General features: G+C 42.0%; 1 protein-coding gene across 2 annotated transcripts in view, besides 2 other annotated features; it reads right to left on the reverse strand.

Annotated features, from left to right (window-relative positions):
• The window catches only part of SCRG1 (stimulator of chondrogenesis 1), a 134,444-nt gene that overhangs the window by 97,626 nt on the left and 11,197 nt on the right, over nucleotides 1–25,621 (reverse strand). The gene's annotated exons all lie outside the window — the stretch shown is intronic.
• Nucleotides 7,130–7,704: an enhancer, noted in NCBI's record as "NANOG hESC enhancer chr4:174410607-174411181 (GRCh37/hg19 assembly coordinates)". NCBI's record gives its function as "activates a minimal SCP1, AML or CMV promoter by ChIP-STARR-seq in primed H9 embryonic stem cells {active_cell/tissue: H9 hESC(primed)}" and the evidence as "EXISTENCE:reporter gene assay evidence [ECO:0000049][PMID:30033119]".
• Nucleotides 18,632–18,691: an enhancer, noted in NCBI's record as "active region_22160". NCBI's record gives its function as "activates an Ori minimal core promoter by ATAC-STARR-seq in GM12878 lymphoblastoid cells {active_cell/tissue: GM12878}" and the evidence as "EXISTENCE:reporter gene assay evidence [ECO:0000049][PMID:35858748]".

The raw sequence follows: 25,621 nt of genomic DNA on the forward strand, positions 1-25,621 counted from the left end.
TGGAAGGATCCACAAATTCCCCTGAAATTAACATATGTCATGTGTACTAGTGTAGAAGCATTTTTCTGAGGGGAAGTGTGGTAAATTAGATACAGTCACAGGTCTTTGCAGTAACTTCCATCTAAACATACTGTCTTTTTTCTTGTCCATTGATCTGGGCTGGCCTTGTGACAGCTACTCTGTCCAAAAGAATGAGGCAAAGGCAGAAGCACAGGGCACAGTGGCTCATGTCTGTAATCCTAGAAGTTTGGGAGACTAAGGCTGGAGGACCACTTGAGGTGAGAAGTTTGAGACCAGCCGTGGCAACAAAGCAAAACCCTGTCTCTACAAAAAATTGAAAACTTAGCCAGGTGTGGTGATGTGTGCCTGTAATCCTAGCTACTTGGGAGGCTGAGGCCAGAGGACCACATGAGCCCAGGAGGTCAAGGCTGCAGTGAGCTATGAATGTGCCACTGGACTCCAGCCTGGGTGACAAAGTGAGACCCTGTCTCACACACACACATGCACACACACATACACACACTATATTATATATTTCATATATATTTTTTATATGTTATATATTATATATAATATATATTAAATATATAATACATATAATATATTATATATGAAATATATAATATATTGTACATATTGTATATATAATATATAATATATTATATATTTCATATGTATAATATATTATATAATTTATATGTAATATATTTCATGTATATTTTATATATAATATATTTCATGTATATTTTATATATATTATATAATTTATCCTATATATTACATATATTTTATATATAATGTATATTTTATATATGAAATATACATATGAAATATATAACATATAACATATAATATATTATATATGATATATATTATATGATATATCATATAATATATATATTATATATAATATATGATATATCATATATGATATATCATATATGATATATAATATATGATATATCATATATGATATATTATATATTACATATCATATATTATATATTATATATTACATATGATATATTATATATTATATGTAATATTATATTATATATTATATATTATATCATGATATATATTATATATTATATCATGATATAGTATATATTATATATTATATCATGATATATATTATATATTATATTCTGATATATAATATATTATATATTATATTCTGATATATAATATATATTATATATTGTATTATGATATATAATATATATTATATATTGTATTGTGATATATAATATATATGATATATTATATTGTGATATATAATATATATGATATATTATATTGTGATATATAATATATATGATATATTATATTGTGATATATAATATATATGATATATTATATTGTGATATATCATATATATGATATATTATATTGTGATATATCATATATATGATATATTATATGTGATATATCATATATATGATATATGATATATCATATATCATATATATGATATATGATATGTAATATATATAATATATATAATATATAATATATAATATATATTTCATATTACATATGTTATATATATTTCATATAATATATGTTATATATATTTCATATAATATATGTTATATATTTCATATATAATATAAATCATATATAATATATTATATATTTTATATAATATATAGTATATTATATATGATATATATTACATATTATATAATATATTATAATATACATATATAATTATAAATATAATATACATAATATATAATATACATGATATAATATATAATATACCATATATAATATATAATATATAATATACAATATATAATATATAATATAGAATATAGAATATTTTCTACATTATATATAATATATAATATATTTTCTATATTATATATTATATATATTTTCTATATTATATATAATATATATTTATATATTATATATTTTCTATATAATATATATTTTATATATCATATATTTTCTATGTAATGTATATTTTATATATTATATATTTTATACATAATATATTTAACATATTATATAATATATAATATATATTATATATTATATATTATGTATATTTTATACATTATATATTATATACATATAATATATATTATATATTATATACATATGATATATAATATATATTATATACATATAATATATAATATATATTATATACATATAATATATATTATATATTATATACATATAATATATATTATATATTATGTATATTTTATATGTTATATATTATGTATATTTTATATATTATACATTATGTATATTTTATGTAGTATATATTATATGCATGTAATATATATTATATGCATATAATATATATTATATATTATATATAACATGATGTATAATATATATTATATATTATATGCATATAATACATATTATATATTATATGCATATAATACATATTATATATTATATACATATAATACATATTATATATTATATACATGTAATACATATTATATATTATATATTATACATATAATATATATTATATGTACAATATATTATATATAATATATATTATGTATATTTTATATATTATATATTATATACATATATAATATACATTATGTATATTTTAGATATTATATATTATATTATATATTATATATAATATTATATATATTATATATAATATTATAAATATAATATATAATATATTATAAATATAATATATAATATATAATATATTATATATTATATATTATATAATATATTATATATTATATATTATATATTATATAATATATTATATATTATATATTATATATTATATAATATATAATATATCATATATATTACATATAATGTAATATATAATATATTATATATATTATATATTACATTATATGTAATATATATGATATATTATATATAGGATAAATTTTTTTTTTAAAAAGGAATGAGGCAAAAATGATGTCATGTGACTTCTCAGCCTTGGTCTCAAGAAGCCTTGCAAGTTTTGCTTTCATTGTCTACCAAGTGAATTAGTCACTACCAAGTAAATCAGACCTAGCTGTCTTGCTGGAAACACATGGCCCAGCTGACAGCCAACAACAAGTACCAAACATGACTGAGGCTATCTGGGCCATTCAGCCTCATGTAAGCCATTAGATGACTGAGGCTGCCTGAGTGATCCCAGACAAACCCAGCAGAAGAACTACCAGCTGGGCCCAGCACAAATTGCAGAATTACGAGCAATTTAATGGTAGTTGTTTTAAGCCATTAAGTTTTGCGATAGTTTGTTATACCATACTATCTAACCACTTCAAGAGGATACATAGATTTTTATCTGATTCTCAAAGATTATGAACTACTACTGAAGTTGAATTAGATTGTTAAAAATTGTGGCTGGGCCCTGTGGCTCATGCCTGCAATCCCAGCACTTTTGGAGGCTGAGACAGGCAGATCACTTGAGGTCGTGAGTTTGAGACCAGCCTGTTCAACATGGTGAAACCCCGCCTCTACTAAAAATACAAAAATTAGCCAGGTGTGGTGGCACACACCTGTAATCCCAGCTACTCGCGAGGCTGAGGCATGAGCATCTCTTGAACTTGGGAGGTGGAGGTTGCAGTGAGCCGAGATTGTGCCACCGCACTCCAGCCTGGGCAACAGAATGAGACTCTGTCTCAAAAACAACAAAAAAAATTGTATGATTCCCTGTCTCTCTACTCTCTTCATAAACTATGTCAAAGGCATGATTTAATTTAGCAAATCTTGCATTCAAACTGCATTTTAAAGTAAATCCTAGAATTATGTAACTGAAGAATCAGCAGGCCCTGGAGTCTGTAGTTCAGAGAATTTCTCTTCTTTCCTCTTGAAAAAGTATGTTGGGCAGTGTTTAGGCATCTCTTTCATTCTCCATATTTTTTAAAGATTAAAGCAATTTCATCTGAAACTTCTATTTACATTTTGGTTTGTTATTTCCAGGCCAGTGTTTAAACTTATTTATGACAGTTAGAATCTGCTCCTAGGTGATTTTAACCTTAAATTCTTTCTTACCAAAGAGTCTGAGAGTGTTCCATTTTGCATCCTTCACCACTGACATAATGCCATCACAGCTGGCCATGTATCGTAGGCTTTCTTGCTTTGGATTCAAACAGCCCTTTTCATCATCTAGAATGTTAACCTCCTTTTAAACTTTCTGACTCTTCTCACATATTCTTGACAGATTTTTTTTTCCATGCTTGTTTTTCTAGATCAGCTTTTGCATTTAACACACACCATTTAAAAATATATCTGATCTCAGCAGACAGCTTCCTACCCAAAGACACTAAATCTTTTTGGCTACCTCCTTCCTTTTTCTTTTCTTCTTCTTCTTCTTTTCCTTCCTGCGTTGGACCATTTACAATAGTAGCATCAGAATTTTATTTTGAGGAATCTCCTCTGCTTCTTTTTGGAATCTCAGACTGGGGTGTCAAAGTCAAGCTTTTATAATTTCCTGAAATATTTTTAGGCTCAGACTAACAGAGTGTGTGTCTGGCAGTGACCACATCCCTCTGGAATTTTCTGATGGCCAGGTGGCCCTCTTCCAGGGTTCCTGTCACTTCTGATTTTCCATTCAGGGCCTCCTTGTTGGCCAGAATTAGAAGCAGGGTGTTAATCCTCCTCCTCACTTCCTCTCCGTCTCCCTTCTGAAAGATGAAATTATCATTTGGGTTACTGATTCTTACCCTGGCTGCACATTCAAATCACTTGGGGAGCTTAAAAAGAAAAAAAGTCTGAGGCCCCACCCTGAGAGAGTCTGCTTTAATTAGTATGGGGTGGAGCCTGCCTGTCAATTTTTTATTTTAAATTCTGGGACTATTCTAATGTGCAGGCAGGGCTGAGAATACTAATTGAGGCAAATCATGGACTTATCAGATGTTCTGAATTTAGGAAATGAGACATCTGGCAGATGGCTGGATAGTTGAAGCTCTCACCATTAAGATTTTGAATGCCTCTTTTCTCCAGTCCATTACACTTCAACACAAGCAATCTAGTTCTAGCATGTCTAAACAGGATAATGACAACCAGAACCATGATATTACTTTCTGATTGTTGATATTAATCTCAACACAGCTCTAACATCAGTAAACAAGATGAAGCTAGACAGCAAAAGTCCTTTGAAAATCTCAGAAGACATGATTTGGGACATTAGCTTTTCTGAAATTCCAAATAAAGATGAACCATGTTGCTCTTGATGGGTTTCCTTATTCATTGAGAGTAATTTGACAAAGGAAGTAAATTTAAAATGAGAAAATAAAATATTATTTTTCACCTTTTTTAGTCAGTGTTCAGGATGTTAATTCTTAGACAAAAGGCAATTGAGATGTGAAATACATTAGAATTTTTTAAAATTCCCTCTCAGCACATATCATATACACCACATATTTGGGCTTTTTTTAAATTTTAAATTTAAGTTGTTAATTATCATCAAGTATGCAAATTCAATTTTCCATAAGCCTATTTTTCTCCTTTCTCCATAGAAATGGCCTATTTTGGCTGGGCATGGTGGCTCATGCATGTAATCCCAGCACTTTGGGAGGCCGAGGTGGGCAGATCACTGAGTTCAGGAGTTCGAGATCATCCTGGGCAACATGGTGAAACCCCATCTCTACTAAAATGAAAAAATTAGCTGGGTGTGGTGGCACGCACCTGTGGTCCCAGCTACTTGGGAGGCTGAGGCATGAGAATCGCTTGAGCCCCAGAGGCAGAGTTGCAGTAAGCCGAGATTACACCATTGCACTCCAGCTTGGGCTATAGAGTGAGACTCTGTCTAAATAAATAAATAAATAAATAAATAAATAAATAAATTTAAAAAATGGTCTTTTTCTTGTTAGTGGCAGAGCTGATTTTGGTGTTATTTTCTGAGCTGAGCTAAGTGTTGGCTAAACTGGGACATTTAGGAATAAGTGGCAAGTCCTCCCTACAGTCACGTGACTCAAAATGAGCATCTCTTCAAGGGACCCTGAACAAGGCACAGCTGCATCATGGAAATCTCAGTCCATTCTGGGATTGGCCAAGCATGATTATTTAACTTGGTAGGTGATGTTGGACACTATGGGCATGCAGGGGGAAATCAGCCTCTTATGAATTACAGGTAACCATGGAAGAACATGAGGATGTGCTTTTCTTGAATGTTCACTCAAAGAACAAAAGGCCTAGAAATAGAGCGTTCTAAAATTCTAGTTCTTATCTGCTCTGAGTTAGCTGTGTAGAAACTGCTATCTGGGGACAGTCAAAGTTCAGAGGTATGGTCTGCAGAATCCACAAACACATAGGCAACAGAGAGGATAAGCAACTTGTTCATGTTGAAACACTACAACTGCTTTCAATCAAGCAGGCCCTTTTGGGATGAAATACATTTTGTCAATAATTCAGTTTTGCAAATGTTTTGCAATATGGTTTCATCTGACAAACCCTCTCAGTGGTGTATTTTTCCACTTTCCAAAGAAAGCACATGTAGAAAAATGATGTCAAATAACATTAATGAGTGTGTTTTGAAACTGTGGACACTAGGGAAGCTAGCCTTGGTCCTTACTCCAACTCTAACTCATGCCATCTTGAGCTAGGATTACTGGAGTTTGAAAACAATGCATGAAAAGATGGCAGAATGAAAAAGAGTGCTTGACAAAACATGACACAGCTAATAGCACAGTGAAGACAGCTGATACAACGTTTCTTAAAGTTGGTGGGTTTAATTCAGACTGAGTGTTATTTTAATGTCTCATTCATTTTACATGGAAGGACATACCTAAATATACACAATTATTTCATCATCCACTGCCAAATATCAACACTGAAAACAATGTATGCTTTTGTTCTGTTTCAGGGCAAAGATAATAGATTCATGCATAAGTGTTTACAGAAGCTTTTTAAAAAATAATCAAGTTATGTTTCTGTTCCTACCAAAACTGTGCAGTCTTTCTAAGCAATTCTGTTGACTTCCTGGAGAAAAGAGAAGATTCCCACTGCTTCAAATTAAGGTCCACATATTAGCAGAGGAATTATTGGTTATGACTAATTGAAAACAGATCTAAGTTTCTTTTAATTAGAAATAAGTACATTCATTTTATAAATGATTTGTCATAAGGAGAGCAATCATGTTCACATCTGAAGTATACTTCATGAGTCCATTTTTCCACTTCTTTCCTCAGTAGTTCAGGAAAAAACATATGCTGCGTTTCTAATTTTTTTTTTTTGTTTGTTTGTTCATTTGTTTTGGTTTTACAAGCAATACAATCAATCTTCTGATTTCATCCTAAAATAGTAGGCATTCCTACTTTGGTACAATTCAACCAGGATTGCACAATTGCTGGGATCAAAAGAAGAAGACATTCTACCTCTTCACTTGAACTGAGTCAGTGTGAATTAATTTTAAATGTCAAACTAGATTTAGATAAAACATACTTGAAAAACCATGCTGTTTGCTTAAGAAAGAGGTTAATGAGGAAAATGTAATCCCCACTTGAATGCCATTGGAATGCAAAACCACATTTATTTGCATGTGTGGTATCTGTAAAAGGTCCAAGGAATTTTGTTTTTGGTGTTTTGAATTGTTTATAATGTATTCTCTTTTTATTCCATCTACTAACAATTCCCAGAAATGATGGAAATAAAAAGACGGAAAAATATAAATGCATTTGGGTTCTAAGAAAATTACCAGCTGCAACATCAGTTCTAGCCACAGTTCATAAAGCAGGTGATTATGGGGACAATAAAGAAAATGTCATTAAATCAGAAAAATCCCTTGAATCTTGCCAATTCCATGACAGTGCCTAGAAGTCTGACGATTCTAAATTGTCCACGCCAAATTTTGCAACAAAATTTCACTAATAATGATGCTCATTTGCAAGGATTTAGTTTAGATATTCCAGGCTGCAGGACATGAAACACACTGGATAATTTTCTTTGACATTATGGCTTATTAAATCACTTCCCAAAGTGTCAAGTAAAACAAAACCTATTCTTTTAAAAGCAACCCTGGAAGGGTCACTGACTTTTCAATAGACCAGTTTCTTTTTCACTTTTAGGTTAATTTCTCACACATTTTTGGTTCAGGAATTGCTTCATTAAGAACACTGGATTTCAAAACAACCCCATTTCCCTCAGAGGCCCAGGAACCAGAAGGCAGCTCAGCACTGGAAGCCACAGGCCACCAATTAACAACAACTAGCCAGGCCCTGCGGGTCATGGACATTTTGGCAGAAAGTTGGTCATATTAATGTTCAGGCCACAAGTTCCCATTTCACGTGGAGTTGCTGCCCGATTGCAGGAAAGTGCTAATGGTTAGGATTACCATTGCTTAAACTTTTATTTCAATGCCTTGATCTGTCACTTGACTGTTTCCCCCTAGGCTTTAAAATATGCAAGAATAAAAATGAAACAAAAATTAACATGTTTATAACCTCTCCTAATATTTCTATTTCTGTCATGTTCTCCAAGATACAAAGAGTAATACAGTTCTACTGTAACTAATTCCCTCTGGAAGCCTCTATTGCCCTGGACTAAAGTTTTCAGGGGCAGGTCTTGCTGTGGAGTTAACTCCACAGGAAAGGAGTCTGCCCAGTCTGGTCCCTCCTGTGGCTCCTTCTGAACCAAGTGTCCCGTCCTCTCCCTGCCCTGGGATGTGGGACCTGCCCTGCAGGAGGAGGCCTGTAGTGTCCCATTATGCCAGGGACTGGGTGGCTAACAGCTGATGGAGTATTCACAGGCATTGCAGCAACTCTCTCAATCTAGCTCTTATCAGTAATACAGCTGACATTTTTAATCTGTCAATCTGATCCCTGTCACCAAACTCTGGCTGGGATGAGAGGCACACTTTATTAGGCCTCTTAAATCCTAACTATTTCACAGAAATAAGTGAACTAATACAGAATTCTCTCTCTCTCTCTCTCTTTTTTTTTTTTTTTAACAGTTTTAGCAACAAGTCCATCCTGGTTTCCTGTGCCCCACTGCATGCACATGATCTTTGCTCCGGGATCTGGGCTGATGAGTCACTTCTCTGTATCGTTGCTGACATGGTGGTAGAGGGACTAAAAACCAAGGGCAGTTGTTTCCACTCACATTTCACTGCTGAGTGCCAGTCATATGGTCACAACCACCTGCCACAGAGTGGGAATGTGTACTCCTCCTGCAGAGATCGGTACCATGTATTTGTGAGCAATGTTAACAGTTACCAAACAATTCCCTCTGGACAAAAATTACTTAAGTGGCATATATTCAGTCTTATCTCTGCTCAGGAACAATTGAAGAGTCAAGGAATCAGCTCCTGAGTAATATCTGCAAGTACAGGGTTCTAAGGTGGGGTTTAGACAGCAAGGTGGGCAGAGGAAATGACTGTAATGTTGCAGAGGAGATGTGCAATGCCCACCCAGCTCTCCGCTTGCACTGAACAAAGCTGACTTTCCCCAGTAACTTGTCATTCAACCCTCAGGCTGAAAAGTGAAAACTCACCATCTTACCTTAAGTAGTTTAGTGCCTACTGGGGAGTGAATGTCCAGATATAAGAGCGTAAACTAGAACAAGGCTGGGTGCGGTGGCTCATACCTGTAATCCCAGCACTTTGAAAGGCTGAGGTGGGAGGATCACTTGAGCCCAGGAGTTTGAGACAAGCCTGGGCAACATAGTGAGACTCCATCTCTACAATTTTTTTTTTTAATTAGCTGGATGTGGCTGCATGTGCCTGTAGTCCCAGCTACTAGGAGGCTGAGGCAGGAGGATCGCTTGAGCCTGTGAGGTTGAGGCTGCAGTGAGCTGTGGTTGTGTGACTGCCCTCCAGCCTGGGTGACAGAGTGAGATCCTGTCTCAAACATTTTTATTTTAAATAAAAAAAAGAGGACAATATAAAATCAAGTATCAAAACAGGCAGAATAGTCAGTCATTGAGCCTTAGCAAAAATTTTTGCCTAAACACTCTAAAAAGTTGCTGTTTTTCCTCCTTTGGTTTGAAAGTCAGAAAAAGAAGCAGTGAGGCCTCATGGTGAAAGAGGCAGCATGAGAGCCATCCAGAATGTTTGTCCCTTCAGCCTCCTGGTTGGGGATTGTTGACGACCTCTCCTGGATTGGACTCATTCCCCCACCCCAAAACTACCCACAGCTGAGGACAGCCATCTAAACACCTGCAGAGTCTACACTACTCCATGCCCACACTAATCCAGACCTCAGGCATGAGGCACCCAAGCAGGCTTGTTTCCTGTGTCAGTCACGGTTCAATACAGGAAACAGAAAACTCTCTAGATCTGCCAAGATCAGAGGGATTTAGTAGGAGGTATGAAGTGGAAAGGCTGGAGGAGTAGAGTCAGCGGCAACCATCAGAGCCCCCTACACCCACGAGGCTGGAGACTAGACAGTGGGCCATGGAGTCTAGTTAGTGGCCTAACTGGCCACTGCCCATACTTATGTCTCCCAGAGCCCTCTCGTACACCTACACAGCTGAAGAGGGAGAGCAGCTTCCTTTGTACTGCCTTTCAAATCCTACGTGACCGCACTTCATGATCAGAACCTAAACTGCATCCTGATCTCTTACAGCAAAGTGACTGGGAATTACAGTTTTTACACTTCTAGGCCTGCAATACAGGGCGGTGGGGAAACCTACCAATGCCATGTGCTATGGACAAGAACAAACACACTCTTCTACAGGGATTGACACTGAGTCACAGGCCTTAGTGGACTAAGAACAGGGTGCCCCAGTACACATGCTCTCCCCAGTGCCTCTCCCTGGGAATCTCACTCAAGATGGGAAGTCTCAGAAGTAACCGAGAGCCGTGTTGTTGTTTGAGTCACTGTTATTACGGTTTGGCTCTGTGTCCCCACCCAAATCTATCTCAAATTGTAATCCCCACATGTCAGGGGAGGGGCTTGGTAGGAGGTAATTGAATCAGGGGGCAGACTTCCCCCTTGTTGTTCTTGTGATAGTGAGTTCTCACCATCTGGCTGAGATCTGGTTGTTTGAAGGTGTGTGGCACTTCCCCCCTCTTGCTCTCTCCCTCTCCTGTTCTACCATGGTAAGACGTGCTTGCTTCCCCTTCTGCCTTGATTGTAAGTTTCCTGAGGACTCCCAATCATGCTTCCTTGAACATTAGGGCATTGAGAAATTAAAGAATTTAGGAGCACTTTCATCTTGCCTGCCAGTCATCTTCCCAGTACACACCCTGGGTGTGGTGGCGCGTGCTTGTAGTCCCAGCTACTTGGGAGGCTGAGGCAGGAGAATCGCTTGAGCCTGGGAGGCAGAGGTTTCAGTGAGCCAAGATCGCGCCACTGTTCTCCAGTCTGGTGACAGAGCAAGACTCAGTCAGAAAAAAAAAAAAAAAAAGCAGCATTAGTGGCACACCGTCATCACTATTAATGTTGCCGAGTGCTCTATGTGTTTGTGTGTCTGTGCTCCTTTCATTTCAGTAAAAATCTTAAAATTGCCCTCTATTCTCTTAGTAGTCTAGTGAATAAAAAATACTTTTATTGAATTCATCTTAATTTCAGATTTGGTGGTATTTGCAGCAGCAGCACATGTGGATGGCCACATTTTTATTACCAAGTCTTTTCCAAGTTTCAACAGCGTTTTTGTTTGATGATTTTGGTTTAAATCCAGTTAATCAATATAATAGTAAAATGAGGTTCTCCCCTGTCCCTGTTAAATAATAGTAGTTCAAAGACAGGAAATATTTAAATAACAAAATTTGAAAACTGAAATGCGTGCCTTCTAGAATAGATTCCTACCCTCAGCTGTGAGAACCTCAAAGCCGCCCTTTTACAACTGGAGAGATTTCTTCTTCTTTATAAGTACGCATATACTTGGTTACTTAGGAACAGGCCACCCACACGACACAGGGAGACATGACCCTGCACCCACAGGTACGTGCACACCCAGGCGCGAGTGCCCACCGGCCCCACAGTTCGTCTGCAACAGTCAGATTCAAGATGCGGTAGATTGGCACCTTAACCTCTTTTGGCTCTTCTTCCCCCGAATCAAAACCCACTGTAAACACCGCGAAGAACCAGGAAACTTCACGGCTTTAATCATTTCCTTTCCCCAAGCTCCATGTGGCACACAGGACATTCCGTTTTCCTTTAGGGTTGCCGTCATCCTGCGACAGGTGCGGAAGAAGAAAAAAGCAAATCTATGTTTCCAAAGAGCGGAGGAAGCAGAGACAATGTGCCAACACGGGGTGCGCTCTTCACCTTTACGCTCCACTCGGAGCAAGCAAGGAAATCCTCCAGCTCTAGCAGGGGTTGAGGGTTAGCGCCACCTGGCTTTCTAAAGAAGAACAAGAGGCAGGAGGTAGATGAGGCTGAAGAGGAGCCCGCGCCCTCCTTTCCTCCTTGGGCACCAGGAGGGCGAGAAGAAGGACCCGGGAGCTCTTCGTTTCAGAGCCCAGGGCAGCCAGGCTGCTGGCCACCGCGCACTGCGAAGAGACGCAATTACCCTTCTGGGAATCAAGAAATCCAGAAACGTCTCTTGGTACTGGTGTTAGACTAGTGGATTCCACATTTAAGGCAACCGTGAATTGCAGAAATAACTGCGGCACTTAAAGTATTATAAACAAGCACCGATCAATTTACGCATTGATTGGTTCTGGCTCGTTTCTATCAACCACCTATTCTGCGTAAACTTCTTATACCGGCTGAGAGGAAAGAAAAAGAAGACAGGAGAAAGGCCATCCTAGGATTCTGATCTGTCTGTGGCAGCGTTGGAAAGGAGTCAGGTTAAATGAATAAAGCCCCGGAGCCCCCGTTTATTCACATGAAAAATAGGGAAAACAGGGCCTTCGGTAACTGCCCCAAGTGATTGGAAAATCAAAGGAAAAACTGGCAGGAGAGTGCCTTAGACATTACCATTTCTACTGTATTATTGTTTTATTATTATACGATATCGTCGTATTAGTCATAGTGAAAATGGTAATCAAGTTATCATTATCCATTCAGTGCCTTATACATTTGCACTGAGTTTGTATTTGCACATATGGATATAATGAATTCACAGAATGACTATTAATTTGAGGGCACTGCCACAAACTGCTTTATCTAGAACTTGGACCAGTTGTCAAAAAGTAATTACCTATTTCGGCATGACTTTTAAACGGTGAAATCTAGAGAAAGTTGTTTGGAAACTGCCTTTCCATGGATTCAGTCAAGAACACAAACACAGATGCACAGATGCATATAATATGTGCACACTATGTGCGCATATGAAAATGTGTACATGCATGGGAAATATGGGTTTGCATTTATTATAAGAATGATTCATGTACATTGCTACTCTGTTTACAAAGACTTTTGCATTCACTTTTCATTTAGTCCTCACAACTTTAGGAGGCATTGCTAATCCCCATTTTACAGATGAGGAAACTGAAGCATGGAACAATAACTTTCCTAAAATCTTGATGAGAAGTTGTAGAACCAAAGCCATGTATTCAATTCTGTGTCATCCTCATATCCAGCAAACATATCATGGACAATTACTGTGTGCCAGGCACTAAAGCCTGGTGGTCACAAAAATCAAAGACATATTCCACTGCCTTCAAGAAACTCACACCTAGTGGAGAAAAAAGAGAAATTACTCTTCCTGAAGGATATATACTCCACAATCAGCCTGGGGCTTAAGTGAAGACTTCCCAAAAGAGTAGATGCCCAGGCTGAATTTTGAAGGACAAGAATCCTTCTGATAAAGATGGAGGGAAGTGTGACCCAGGCAGAAAGACAACATGTGCAAAGATATGAAGGCAAAAGAAACGAGAGTATTCAATATAGCTCAGAATCACGGCTTAATGTATATATAGGGACAGTGGTGAGAAAGATTATAAAGAGCATTATTGAGGTTTTCTTGAAGTCTATGGGGGAATGAATGAAAGATTTTAAGTAGGGAAACAACATGATCCAATGTCATTTGCATTAAAGATCGGTCCAGCTGCTGTGAGGACAGACTGGAGGGTACATTAACAGTAGGAGAAATGATGGAATGATGCAGGCAAAACTCAATATTTGTCATGCTAAGGTAGGGGGTTCTTTGAAAAAAAAAAGAGAGGGTGAATTTGAAAGATATTAAGGAGGAGCTCATTACAGTTGCTAGGTTATTAGCCTGAGCACCAGGTGGGTAGTGGTACCAGTCATGGAGACTAAGAGAAGAGACTATTGGTATGCAACAGAGACTAGAAATAAATTCTGTTTTGAGCATAGTGAGTTTAAAAAACTAAATACATCTATGTGGAAATGTCCTCTATCAGGGAGTTGGATATGCAGATCTACTGCTCCAAGAACAGGTCTGAATTGTAGTGAGATAAAACACTGGTATCAACTGAAGCCACATAATGATTAATAATAGTATTTGCAAACAGGCATCAAGTACTTACTGTGTATCTGGCACTGTGCAAAGCATTTTAGTAGATAATCTTATTTAATCCTCACAACAACCTCACAAGGTAAGTATTCTGATTAAGTATTGCCCAGGGAGAAGGTTTAATATAAGAGGTCCAAAACAGGACCCTGATGATTACATTTATGAAGAATGGCAGCCAGGTGCGGTGGCTCACACCTGTAATGCCAGCACTTTGGGAGGCTGAGGCAGGCGGATCACAAGGTCAGGAGATCGAGTCCATCCTGGCTAACACGGTGAAACCCCGTCTCTACTAAAAATACAAAAAATTAGCCAGGTGTGGTGGTGGGCGCCTGTAGTCCCAGTTACTTGGGAGGCTGAGGCAGGAGAATGGCGTGAACCTGGGAGGCAGAGCGTGCAGTGAGCTGAGATCACACCACTGCACTCCAGCCTGGGCAACAGAGTGAGACTCTGTCTCAAAAAAACAAAAAAACAACAACAACAAAAAAGAAGAATGGCAGAACTTTTCCTACTATATTGCAAAGCTATAGCACAGTCACCTAGACTTAAATGCAGAAAGCTACACATTGACCACCAGTTGGCTGAATGTCAGCTCCATCCTTGCTCTATTCCTCTCTAGGACAACATTCTGGAGTGACTGCCAAGGCTAGCTGGCCCATTCCCACACTGCCTCACTGCCTACCTATGGTCCCTCAGACTTGGTGCGACTTGTGGGTTTTTTTAGCCTCCAAGTTGTTTAGGTCCCCTAGCCTGAAGATGATAAAGGAAAAGACTACTTCCAGGTAGGGAAACCACCTGTTTCACTACACATCCCGGGAAAACATATCATGACTGTTTCTCTGAAATACTTTGGATTCCAGCCAGACAGCATTAATTGGGCTAGTCAAGGTCAACCAAGGCCAGGCAAGCAGGAGGAAGTGCCCTAGACTTAATTTTCAACATGGCAGAGAGTCCTTGAGTCATCTCCTCACATCAAGAGGCAGTCCCTGAAAGCAAGCAAGCAAAAAAAAAAAAAAAACTTACTCTTTTTTTTTTTTTTTGAGACGGAGTCTCACTCTGTCACTGAGGCTGGAGTGCAGTGGCACTGTGTCAGCTCACTGCAACCTCAGTCTTCTGGGTTCAAGCAATTCTCCTGCCTTAGCCTCCTGAGTAGCTGGGATTACAGGCACCCACCACCACGCCCGGCTAGTTTTCTTTTTTTCTTAATTCTTAGTAGAGACAGGGTTTTACCATGTTGGCCAGGCTGGTCTCGAACTCCGGACCTCAGGTGATCCACCCGCCTCGGCCTCCCAAAGTGCGGGGATTACAGGCGTGAACCACTGCACCCAGCCTACCTTACTCTTAATGGTGAGTAATTCCTACTAGCTTCTTCGCCTTCTCCCAATATCCATCATTTGGGAGTTTGTTGTGTGAAGGGAAAGTATCAGTTGAATACTATTCTGAACATTGGATTTACTTACTTACATAATTTGCCTCTCTGTTAAGTTTGCCTAGAGATTTTTGTTTCTCTTACATTGAATTCAAGACTCTTATAAACAAATCAGACTTGCTGCTGTACTTCTCATTAGAGGAACTGAAACCTTGTCCCAATGGCCCTTAAGAGCTCCACCCAAGTGAAATGATACCAAACATTTAAGTTTTGCTTTACATTAATGCTCCTGAACCCAATTTTGGCCCAGATATCCCTGGTCTGAATGAGAAAGCCAGGTAAGGACTGCAGATGTTGGGGATAGGGAGGAGGTAGCCTAAAGACTTGATCCGTGTTCACCTAAACCTGTCACCAAGATTTGTGGGCCACATCTCTGTGACCTGAAGAAATCAGTTCCCTGGGCCCCAGCATACTCATCTGTGAGATGAAGGGGCTGAAACATCTCTAAAGCTCATTCCAAGTTTAACATTCTCTGCGGACTTAATATAAGAATGAGCAGGGTTCCAGTGTTGGCTTTGCTGCTTCCATATGGTCTGGGTAAGGGGCTCATTGAATGTTGATACATTACAGCATCAGAGAACATGAGATTAGAAATCAGATTTACTGACCAAACAGATCACCTAGATTAAAAATTAATAATACATCTGTATATGTATGTATATGTGTGTGTGTGTGTATGTATAGATGCACACATATATACACACGGAGAGACAGATAGAGACAGAAATAAATATAGAGAAACTGACTGGTCAAGATAGCAGTGAGTTGATGGCAAAGCCAGGTCTAAAATCCAGGTTTTCTAACTATTGGTTATGTAATTTGCACACAGGTCTCTGTGTATGTCATGCATGCCACTAGAATGCTGGAAGATTTGGTAAGATTCATGTTTAATTGGCTCCATGTGTGGTGTGCTTCCTTCCCCCACCAGCATCAGGATTGCCTTAGAAAAGGCCGCGGGTTCTGGAGACAGCATGGATCTTCTTTCAAATGGGAGCCCTAAGAATTCACCCCTGCCTTTAATATTAATTCTGCATGTTAATTAGCTGAAGGATAACATCCTCAGACCATTTTTCAGAGGTGATGAAAGGAGTCCATTTAATCGAAGAGGCTAAAAGAGATGAAATTATCTGGACTGTCCTCCCACTGAGGGCAATGTGGGGTAATGAACCCAGCCTGCACTAGGCATGGGAAAGAGGACACCTCCCCAGCTCCATCCTATCCGTGTTCCCTGAGCAAATTTCACCTAGAAAAATTACAGAAGCAAACTGCCTAAACTTTTAGCCACTGTCCTCTGCCTCTCTCTGCTAGGTAATTTTAAAAACTGGGATAGTGGTTTAGATAACAGTAGTAGTAATAGTAGTAATAATAGTAATAGTAATAGCAGTTGATAAGGAAGAGGAGCTTTGCAAATGAATCTTGCTTAGACTGAAATTTAAAAAGTGGTTTGACAGGCTATTGCCTTCACCTAGTTCAGTATATTCTTCAGTAAATATTTAGTAAGGGTCTCCCCCACCCACTACTGAACAATGTGCTAAGGCCTGGGAATACAGGTAGTGTACCGCCTGGTCCCTACTCCCGCCCATCTTCAAAGTCCTTTCCTAGGACAGATTCAGTTCTTGAAAAGCCTCATTGATGGCCTCCATGCAGCAGCCAACTGCCTCACGTGAACGCAAGACGCCCTAGGTAACCCGAGCCAATGGCTCCCTCCCATTTGGGGAGAAAAAAAAGTGGGGGGCAGGGATCGAAAGAAAGGAAAGGAGAAAAATACTGAGAAACATGTTTTGGCAGGCCAGGCCTTCAGAGACTACCATATGTGCTCCATATTGAGCAACACCGGGTCTTTGATGTTTTTCTGAATGTAAAGGCATTATTCTTTCTCAAACTGCGCCTAAGTACTACAGACATTAAAACAATGAGACGTAACGGGTGGACCTGGCTCTAAGTGTTTAATTTGTCCTTCACCCAAGTGCCTGCCACCGGTTAGCTCCCCAGTTTGCACCCAGGCAGCTGGCAGGGTTGCCATCCTCTCTGGCCCCATCCCCCTTTGAGATTCAAGTTTGTGTGTCTCCTAGAACACCTTAGCGCCAAGTTCGGAAGTAAGTACTTTCCCAAAGCCCTGCGAAAACGCCCCAGATGTTTCCTGCGTCACGGAAACAAGCCCAGGTTGGATCTGAAGCATTCTTACGACGGTGGGTCACAGGGCCTGCCCCGCGCCAGCGAGCCCTGCTCCCCCAAGAGCTGCGGGGTGCACCCGGAGGCCTCCGGCGCTCCCCGGGTTCGCGCCCACCCCTGTTCGCCGGGGAGTGGCCAACAGCGCAGGAAATACGGGCGAAGGAGATGCCCATTTTATTTCGTGCAGAATTCTGAATCACCAACGAAGACCCTTAGTAAATTTTGTGTGTGTGTGTGTGTGTGTGTTTGAGACGGTCTCAAGGCGCGTTGCTGAAGCTGGAGTGCAGTGGCGCGATCAAGGCTCGCTGCGCTGTCGACTTCCTGGGCTCAGGTGATTCTCCCACCTCAGCTTTCGGAGTAGCTTGGACTACAGGCCTCCGCTACCACGCCCAGCTAAATTTATTTTGGTATTTTTTGTAGAGATGGGGTTTCCCCATGTTGCCCCAGGTTGGTCTCAAACTCCTGAGCTCAAGGGATCCACCCGCCTCCGTCTCCCAAAGTGCTGGGAGTAAATTTATACTGTAAATTTATAAATTTATACAGGCCCTAGTAAATTTATACTGTAATCTTGGGGAGTTTATTAAATAGTCACTCTCCCCGATTGTTAATTTGTCCTTCCCTTTACGTCCTTCTACCCACCGCCGGAGAAACGGCGATCTTAAAAGCAAGGATCTAAATCCACTCGAGGTCTCTCCAGGGAACTGCGCTCTCCTTCCGGGGAGCAGAAGGCCGGGGCTTGCCCAAAGTGGGGAAACCCAGAGGCGGGAGGCTCCCAGTGGCTGGGCAAGAGCGGGGTGCAAATGCGAAACCTGCTCTCGGACGCCGTGACGCTTTGCAGACTGGGGCCCCTCCAAAGTGGGCGGAGTGAGGAGTGTTGGCCCTGGAGAGCAGGGTGTCCGAGCTCCCGCTGCTTCCGGGTCTCGGCAAGCACTTCCGGGGTGCGAGCCACGCGGCCCGAGCTCCGCGCTTACCGATTATCACAAATGGTGAAGGAGATTGGCGCCAAAAGGGAACAGTAACAACCGTGGCCGATAATGACGTCGGGATTGGCTACACCAGGGCCCCCTCTAGTCACGGTCAAGCCCTAGTTTTCAAGCACTTCTGCGTTTGCTCTCGGCCGCCCCAAAGATGGGGGATTCTTGATGCGGCTTGAGATGCCCTGGGAAGCCGCAAAGCCTGGAATCCAGGAGCAGCAGCCTCAGCCTTCCCAGTGCGCCTGTGGTTGCGGGCAATGGGGCACAGCCCTGGCTCCCCTTGGACTCTCAGTAGGCACACGAAGAACGGCCTTTCTGCGCTCAGGCCTCTGCGGAGGTCTCTTTCAGGGTCGTTTGGGGTGTCTGGATTCAGAAGGGGGGGCCGGGCTCTCCCTGACCCTAGAGGGTCAGGAAAGGATTACTGTCGGGCGGAGGTCACAGTGATGCTCTGCCCTTGTTAAACTGGTCAGCTGGAGCGGGCTCCCTGGATGCAGAGGCATGGGTTATCTAGGAGAATTCAGGTTGTGTTTGGGCGCTAGGTTGAAGGTGCGAGCCGTTCCTCCTGAGGTAATCTCATATGTGAGGCGGAAATGAACTGGATACACACAGGAACCACCGCGCGTCTTTGCATCCAATTATTCTTAAACAATTGCCCCTTCTCCTTCGGAGCATCCCTTCTACCAACCAGGATCTATTGTCTCAGCACCTACTTTGTGCTCAGATCTTTGCCAGGTTCTTTGGGGGATACAAGACCACGGAAAGCCAGGTACCTGCGCGTGAACCTAGTGAGACTGGTGCGTTAATGGAAGGAAGGGAGGGCGCCCATTAAAATTACTTCTCGTGCTGCACTTTTTTGTGGAATGAACCAAAGGCATCCGGAGAAGAATATAGTATTGCACGCCTGGACTTCGGACTCAGCTTCCTTTTTCTGACCCTTCCTCAACCTGGCTTTCCCTCTTCAGGAAGAGATTTGGAATTCCCTTTATGGTGGGGCGGGGAGGGGTGGGGAAACAGCCAGCCCAGGTAAGTATGTGAGCCACATGGTCCGCGAATGGAAGAAAGGAAAATCATCTCCAAATGCAACCAGGCAGGTGGGGGTAGTTTGACTCTGAAAGGGAATGGGAAATCTGAATAACCCCGAAGGCAGCAGACTCCATACCCGGTGTTGAGGTGTGAGAAACAGTCAACATTTGGAGCCCTGGAGTCAGAAGATTTTTGGCAGCTGTTAGATAACTTCCTGATCTGCAATAAAGTTCATGTGACGGAGAGGATGTTTCCGCTCTCCGTTGCCTGGCTCCTTTCCTTTCTAAGCCTGCAAGTTTAAGAGATTTTACCAGGTCCCACTTGAATGGTGGCCTAATGTGGGCCCTGGGAGGAGTCCTGGTGGCCTGAGGCTGCAAAGATTGGATCAAACAGGGGCAGTCACAAGCTCACTGGCCTGTTGCATCCCCAGCTTTCACCTGCCAGGTGACACCAAGGCCTCCCTTTCTCAAAATGGGGAATCCAGGCTGCTCCATTTTCAGACACCAACCTGTCTGTTCCTGATCCTCCCCACAAGGTCCAAACAAAACAGTTTTTAAAGAAATCTGTGTAAAGTTCCAAGCGTCTTCCACAGCCCAGGTGCACTCTGGCTGCAACAGCCTAGTTTCTGGACCATGATCAGGCATAATTAGGGTCTGATCACTATAGAAATATATGCAAGATGTTTACTTCCCTTAGTGGAAAAATAGAAGGGGGGTCTGGTGCACAGTGGGACTCACGAAGAAGGAGTGTGCTCTGAGAGCACCTAGCACCCGTGGACCTCAAACCCTTCTCAGCTCAGGGAGGGGCAGTGGAATTCAAGCTCAGGTGGTTCCCTACCGACCAGGTCCCTGGGTACGTCCCAGGGCTCTGGCACAGCTAGAGCAGGTGTCCACCTCTCGGTTTAGGCCAGCTTGACCCTGTGTCGTTCCCACTCCCAAGCCCCCAGTCATATACATGAGGACTGGCAGCAGGTGGGCAGGAGAAGGTGGTGTTCCAGCTACATCTTGGAGTTTTTGCTTGGGATCCGGCCAGCTTCAGGGACCATCACTTGTGGGGAGGGTTGGACGTGGACTTCCCAGCTGGATGATAATAGAACTGGCTGAAGAGCAGAAGCCAGAACTCAAGGTTCAGACCTTGTCCACCAAAGTCAGAGATTGCAGATCAAAGCTATTCAAAAACTCACTTGTAAGACCAGAGAGAAGGACGTGAAGTTCCCAGAGTCCAGGGTCTTGGGGTGGGGAGGGGAGTGTTGCAAGGGTAAACAGCTGGCCTAGGAAGCTACACCTCGCCATGCATGGTGAGTGTTGAGGGGAGATGGCTTTTCAAGTTTTTAGGAAGAAAATAGAATTTCCGAAGACACAAACACACAGCAATGAGGATATGTGACAAATATCCTTGTTTTGCAAAGGTATAAAGGAGGAAGTCAACATGCTGGAGACCACAAAGTCAGTCCAGAAGCCAAGACCCAACCCAGATGTGCCTGACTCTGAATTGCTTTAAGCACTTGCCACTCAGCCTCTGATAAGCAGCTTAAGTTACATCTTCGCGATGTCCCTAATTCTATGAGTGGTGGATCTGCCCAAACTCCCAACAGCTTTTAGGAGGGTGTCATTTGTAGCAAAGTAGAGACTTACAATAAACCTCCTGCAGGGGAAGAAGCGGGGTGCGTGGGGATAGTAAGTTTTCTTAAATGTGCCAGAAGTGTCTTCTATTTTCTGCCCACCATAAGCACGGTGTAGTCTAATTGTTTCCAGTAATTGCATTCCAGTCCTGCACAACTGCAAACTCTGGAGCACCGAACCCACTCACGAGCACCACTTCCTCCAGCACTCAGTGGATGCCTAAGAGGCGACTGTGACCATGTTCGCTGGTGCAGTCCCCCGCTCTCAGCCTTCACACAAAGTCTGAACTACATTGGTTTTTTTTCATTTGAATCCATTTCTTTTTGGTCTTGGCTTAAGAAATCACTCTGGTCATTAATAACTGTAATAAGATCACTCTGGCCCAAGTCACCAGGGATGGCAAGGAGCCCAGAGGCTTCCCTGCATGCAGCGCAAACGGCGTGCTCCTCCGGTAGCCGTATGGGGGAGGACCTATAAGGTACCTGCCAGCACAGCCTGGGGCCTTTCCTACCCCAACTCGTCACCACCGCTGCCTCCAGCTTTCCCTATCCCAGCCCCAGTGGGTAGAACCAGACAGGAGACTAGACCTCTTTGTCTGCAAATGTGGGACTCCCAGGCAAAAGAAGCTCAGAAATATTGAATAAAGGTATTGGACTCTAGAAACCACGTGGAGAAATCTGGTGTAATGGAGGCAAGCAGTTTTAGCTATGGTTGCTGCAAAATATCAAATGCCCTTCAAATTTTGTGCACAATTATTTTTATTCTCTTTTCTTAATGTTTCTTTTAATTTTTGTCTTGAATTTCTTGATTTTTAGAGTAGTTGCCAGACCACTGGAGTCCCTGCCAGGAGAGGAGATGTCACTGAAAGGTCAACACCATCCTTCTCAGAGGAGGAAAAACTGAGTTCAATTCACATTGGCAGCCTAATTCCAGCCCCATGACCCAGGGGGATCATCCTCTTCCTCTAGGGGTTCCTAAAGTGGAATGTGGTGCCCTAGCCACAGCTAGCAGCAGAAACCATGGCAGAGGATGGTAGAGGAGAGAGAAATGCATGAATGCAGTGCCACTTTCTGAATTTTGTTTTCACTTGTCTGTCAGCCTTGATTGTCACCACTGAATTAGATGATCAATAACTGTAACTGAAGAAGAGAAATCACCATAGTCTCACCTTCTGTCACTGTAATGACTGTAAAATGAATTAGTATAACCTTGTAGGGGTTAAAAACGCCCATTAAATGACCACTCATTTAGCCACCTCCAACTTTAGAATTGCCCCCTTCACCAGAGACAATTAGGGCCTAGATGCCCAAAACCCAGGAAATGCACCTGACACCCCCTAGAACATCATTTCCATGTCCAAAGGGAAAGAGAAGGCTCAACAGGGATGAGTGTGGCTTTCAGGACTCTTTAACAACAATTTATCCTCAATGCCCACCTGGAGTCAGTGCCCTGTAGAGCTGATGGCCCAAAAGGCAGGGATGTGGGGTTCCTCTCCACATCCCTTGCTCGGCCATCAGTATATTGGGACATCAGTACAAGATTCTTGTACTGATTCTTGTACATCAGTACAAGATTCTTCTTGCTCAGCCATCAGTACATTGGGAAAGTGAAGAAAAAGGGAAAGGGGAGAGTAGCTAGACAGCGGAGAAGCTCTGTGCTGGGATTCTGTCTTTGTAGGAGAAAAAATAGGGGGAAATGTCTGCCCAAGCAACTCCCAAACCACAATTGCCTCCTGCCACAGGCCCGAACACTCCTTTCTTGCTTCCTAGGTTTGCCTGTTCTATCTCACTCCTCCTACCTTCTGCAAATTTTTCAAATCCATAATCTAAAGCATTCTCTCTAGAGTGTAAGCAAGCAGTCATCAGACAACCTCTCTAGATGAGAAAGAAGGCGTGAAGCAACGGCTGGGAGGTGGAAGCACAAATAATGATGTTTGGAAGGTGGAGCTCCTGGAGCTTTGCTTTCAAAGGTTAACACGTGGGTTTCCAGAGCTCCACACTTCGTTCTTTCCCAGTTTAAGGGTGGGTGGTCCCTTCTGCTCACGAAATAAACCTCTGACAAGTGGAGAAACGGCTGAGGTGGCACTTGGAAGTTAGGAACCAAGTTAATCCTCTCCTAGGTTTCCCCGTGCTTCTAAGCCTGTGTTGTCCCCGCCCGGGCTGAAGGGGGAGCTCTGGGCTCAATTTAGATGGTGTGAGTAGACACTGAAGCCCAGCGAATTTCAGTTTAAATCTCAAACCCTGGTGTGGTGAGGCAAGAAAGGTGACACTTGAGGGACACATGTATGGTAGGACTCTGGACTCCTCTGGTTGAGTAAGAGAGTCATGGTAACTTTGACTTTCCTGTGGGTATTTTAGAGGAATAGGGACGTAGGCCCTACAGCTTAAAATAGTGCCCAAAGTTTCAATTCCTTAGAAAGGGATTTCCCATCACTTAAATCACCCTCTAGGAGTGTATGCTAGAGGCTCGTGGAGGGCAGTGCAGCCCCGTCTCCCAGGTTACCAGGAGACGGCCCAGGCTGCAGGGCCCCTCAGTGTGCCATCAACTCCTCTCATGCCTGGAACTTGTTTGGGTGCACAGATCTACAGCCAGGTCTGCTCTCTTTGCACCTCAATTTTCTTGTAGGCACAGAGACAGGAAATGCCCTTCTTACAGTTTGTGAAGATTAAACAATAGGCAGCCTGTAAAATGCCTTCGCACTTAATATGCGATCATTAAAATCAGTTCCTTCCCTCCTGTCCTGAGGGTAGGGGCGGGCAGATTTTATTACTTCTCTTTTCCTGATAGCAGAACTGAGGCGGGGTTGTGGAGGAGCGACGGAGGACCACCTCTAACTTCCCTTCACTTCCTGGATTTGAAGCCTCAGGGCCACCGGCCTCAGTCCTGTTACGGTGGCGGACTCGCGAGGTTTTCCAGCAGCTCATTCCGGGACGGCGGTGTCTAGTCCAGTCCAGGGTAACTGGGCTCTCTGAGAGTCCGACCTCCATCGGTCTGGGAGCGAGTGGTTCGAGTTCAGATGCTGGGAACCGTCGCTTCTCCCCGGCCGGGCTCGCTGTTTTCTCCTCCGCTCGCCGTCATCAAGCCCGGCTATGAGCAGGGCTTTAAATCCTCCCTCCCTCACCCGCAGGTTTACCGAGCAGCCCCGGAGCTCTCAGACATGCTGCGCTGCGGCGGCCAGAGGAGGGGTGGGGGCATTGCCCTCTGCAGCCTAGTGCCCAAATTGCCACTCATCCGGTCTGGTGCCATGAAGGGAAGGCCGCGAGATGGTGCTAATTAAGAAGGCCAGACTCTACTCCTTGCACAAGGTCCGGAGCATGGCCCTGTTTTTCTGTTTGTTTGTTTGTTTGTTTGTTTGTTTTAAGACAGAGTCTTGCTCTGTCGCCCAGGCTGGAATGAAGTGTCTCGATGTCGGCTCACTGCAACCTCCGCCTCCCGGGTTCAAGCGATTCTCCTGCTTCAGCCTCCCGAGTAGCTGGGATTACAGGCGCCTGCCACCACGCCCGGCTAATTTTTGTATTTTTAGTAGAGACAGGGTTTCGCCATGTTGGCCAGGCTGGTCTTGAACTCCTGACCTCAGGTGATCCACCTGCCTCGGCCTCCCAAAGTGCCAGGATTACAGGCGTGAGCCTCCCGGCCTGGCCCTGTTCTTTTAAAAATAGCCGATCTAACTTCACACTACTACCAAAAGCCAGATCTGTCCCCAAGCTCTTTCTTCCCACATCTCCCCTACCTGCTTGAAAGGGGGTGTTAAGACCTCCTCCACACCTGAGCGCCCCCACCCTGTGGCCGCCACCACCAGAACCACCATCAACTCTGGAGGCCGATCTGAGGAGAGAAGAGAAGCCAACAACCCCGCAGGATGAGAGAGCAATCTCTTTTGTATCACAGACCCTCCGGAGCAGTTGCGGGAGGGCTGGCTGGGTGCATGGAAGTATTTAGCAGGTTCAGTGCCATTACTGCCTAACAGGGTGTGAAAAGTAATATGAATGTGAAATACTGTGGGAAAACGGAGAGTTTCCAAAGCAGGCAGCGAGGCCCCTCCGCTGGTGGGCCTGGAAGGCCAGAATCCCTGCTGCCCC

This window comes from Homo sapiens, chromosome 4, assembly GCF_000001405.40.
Source record: "Homo sapiens chromosome 4, GRCh38.p14 Primary Assembly".
Lineage (NCBI taxonomy): Eukaryota > Metazoa > Chordata > Mammalia > Primates > Hominidae > Homo > Homo sapiens.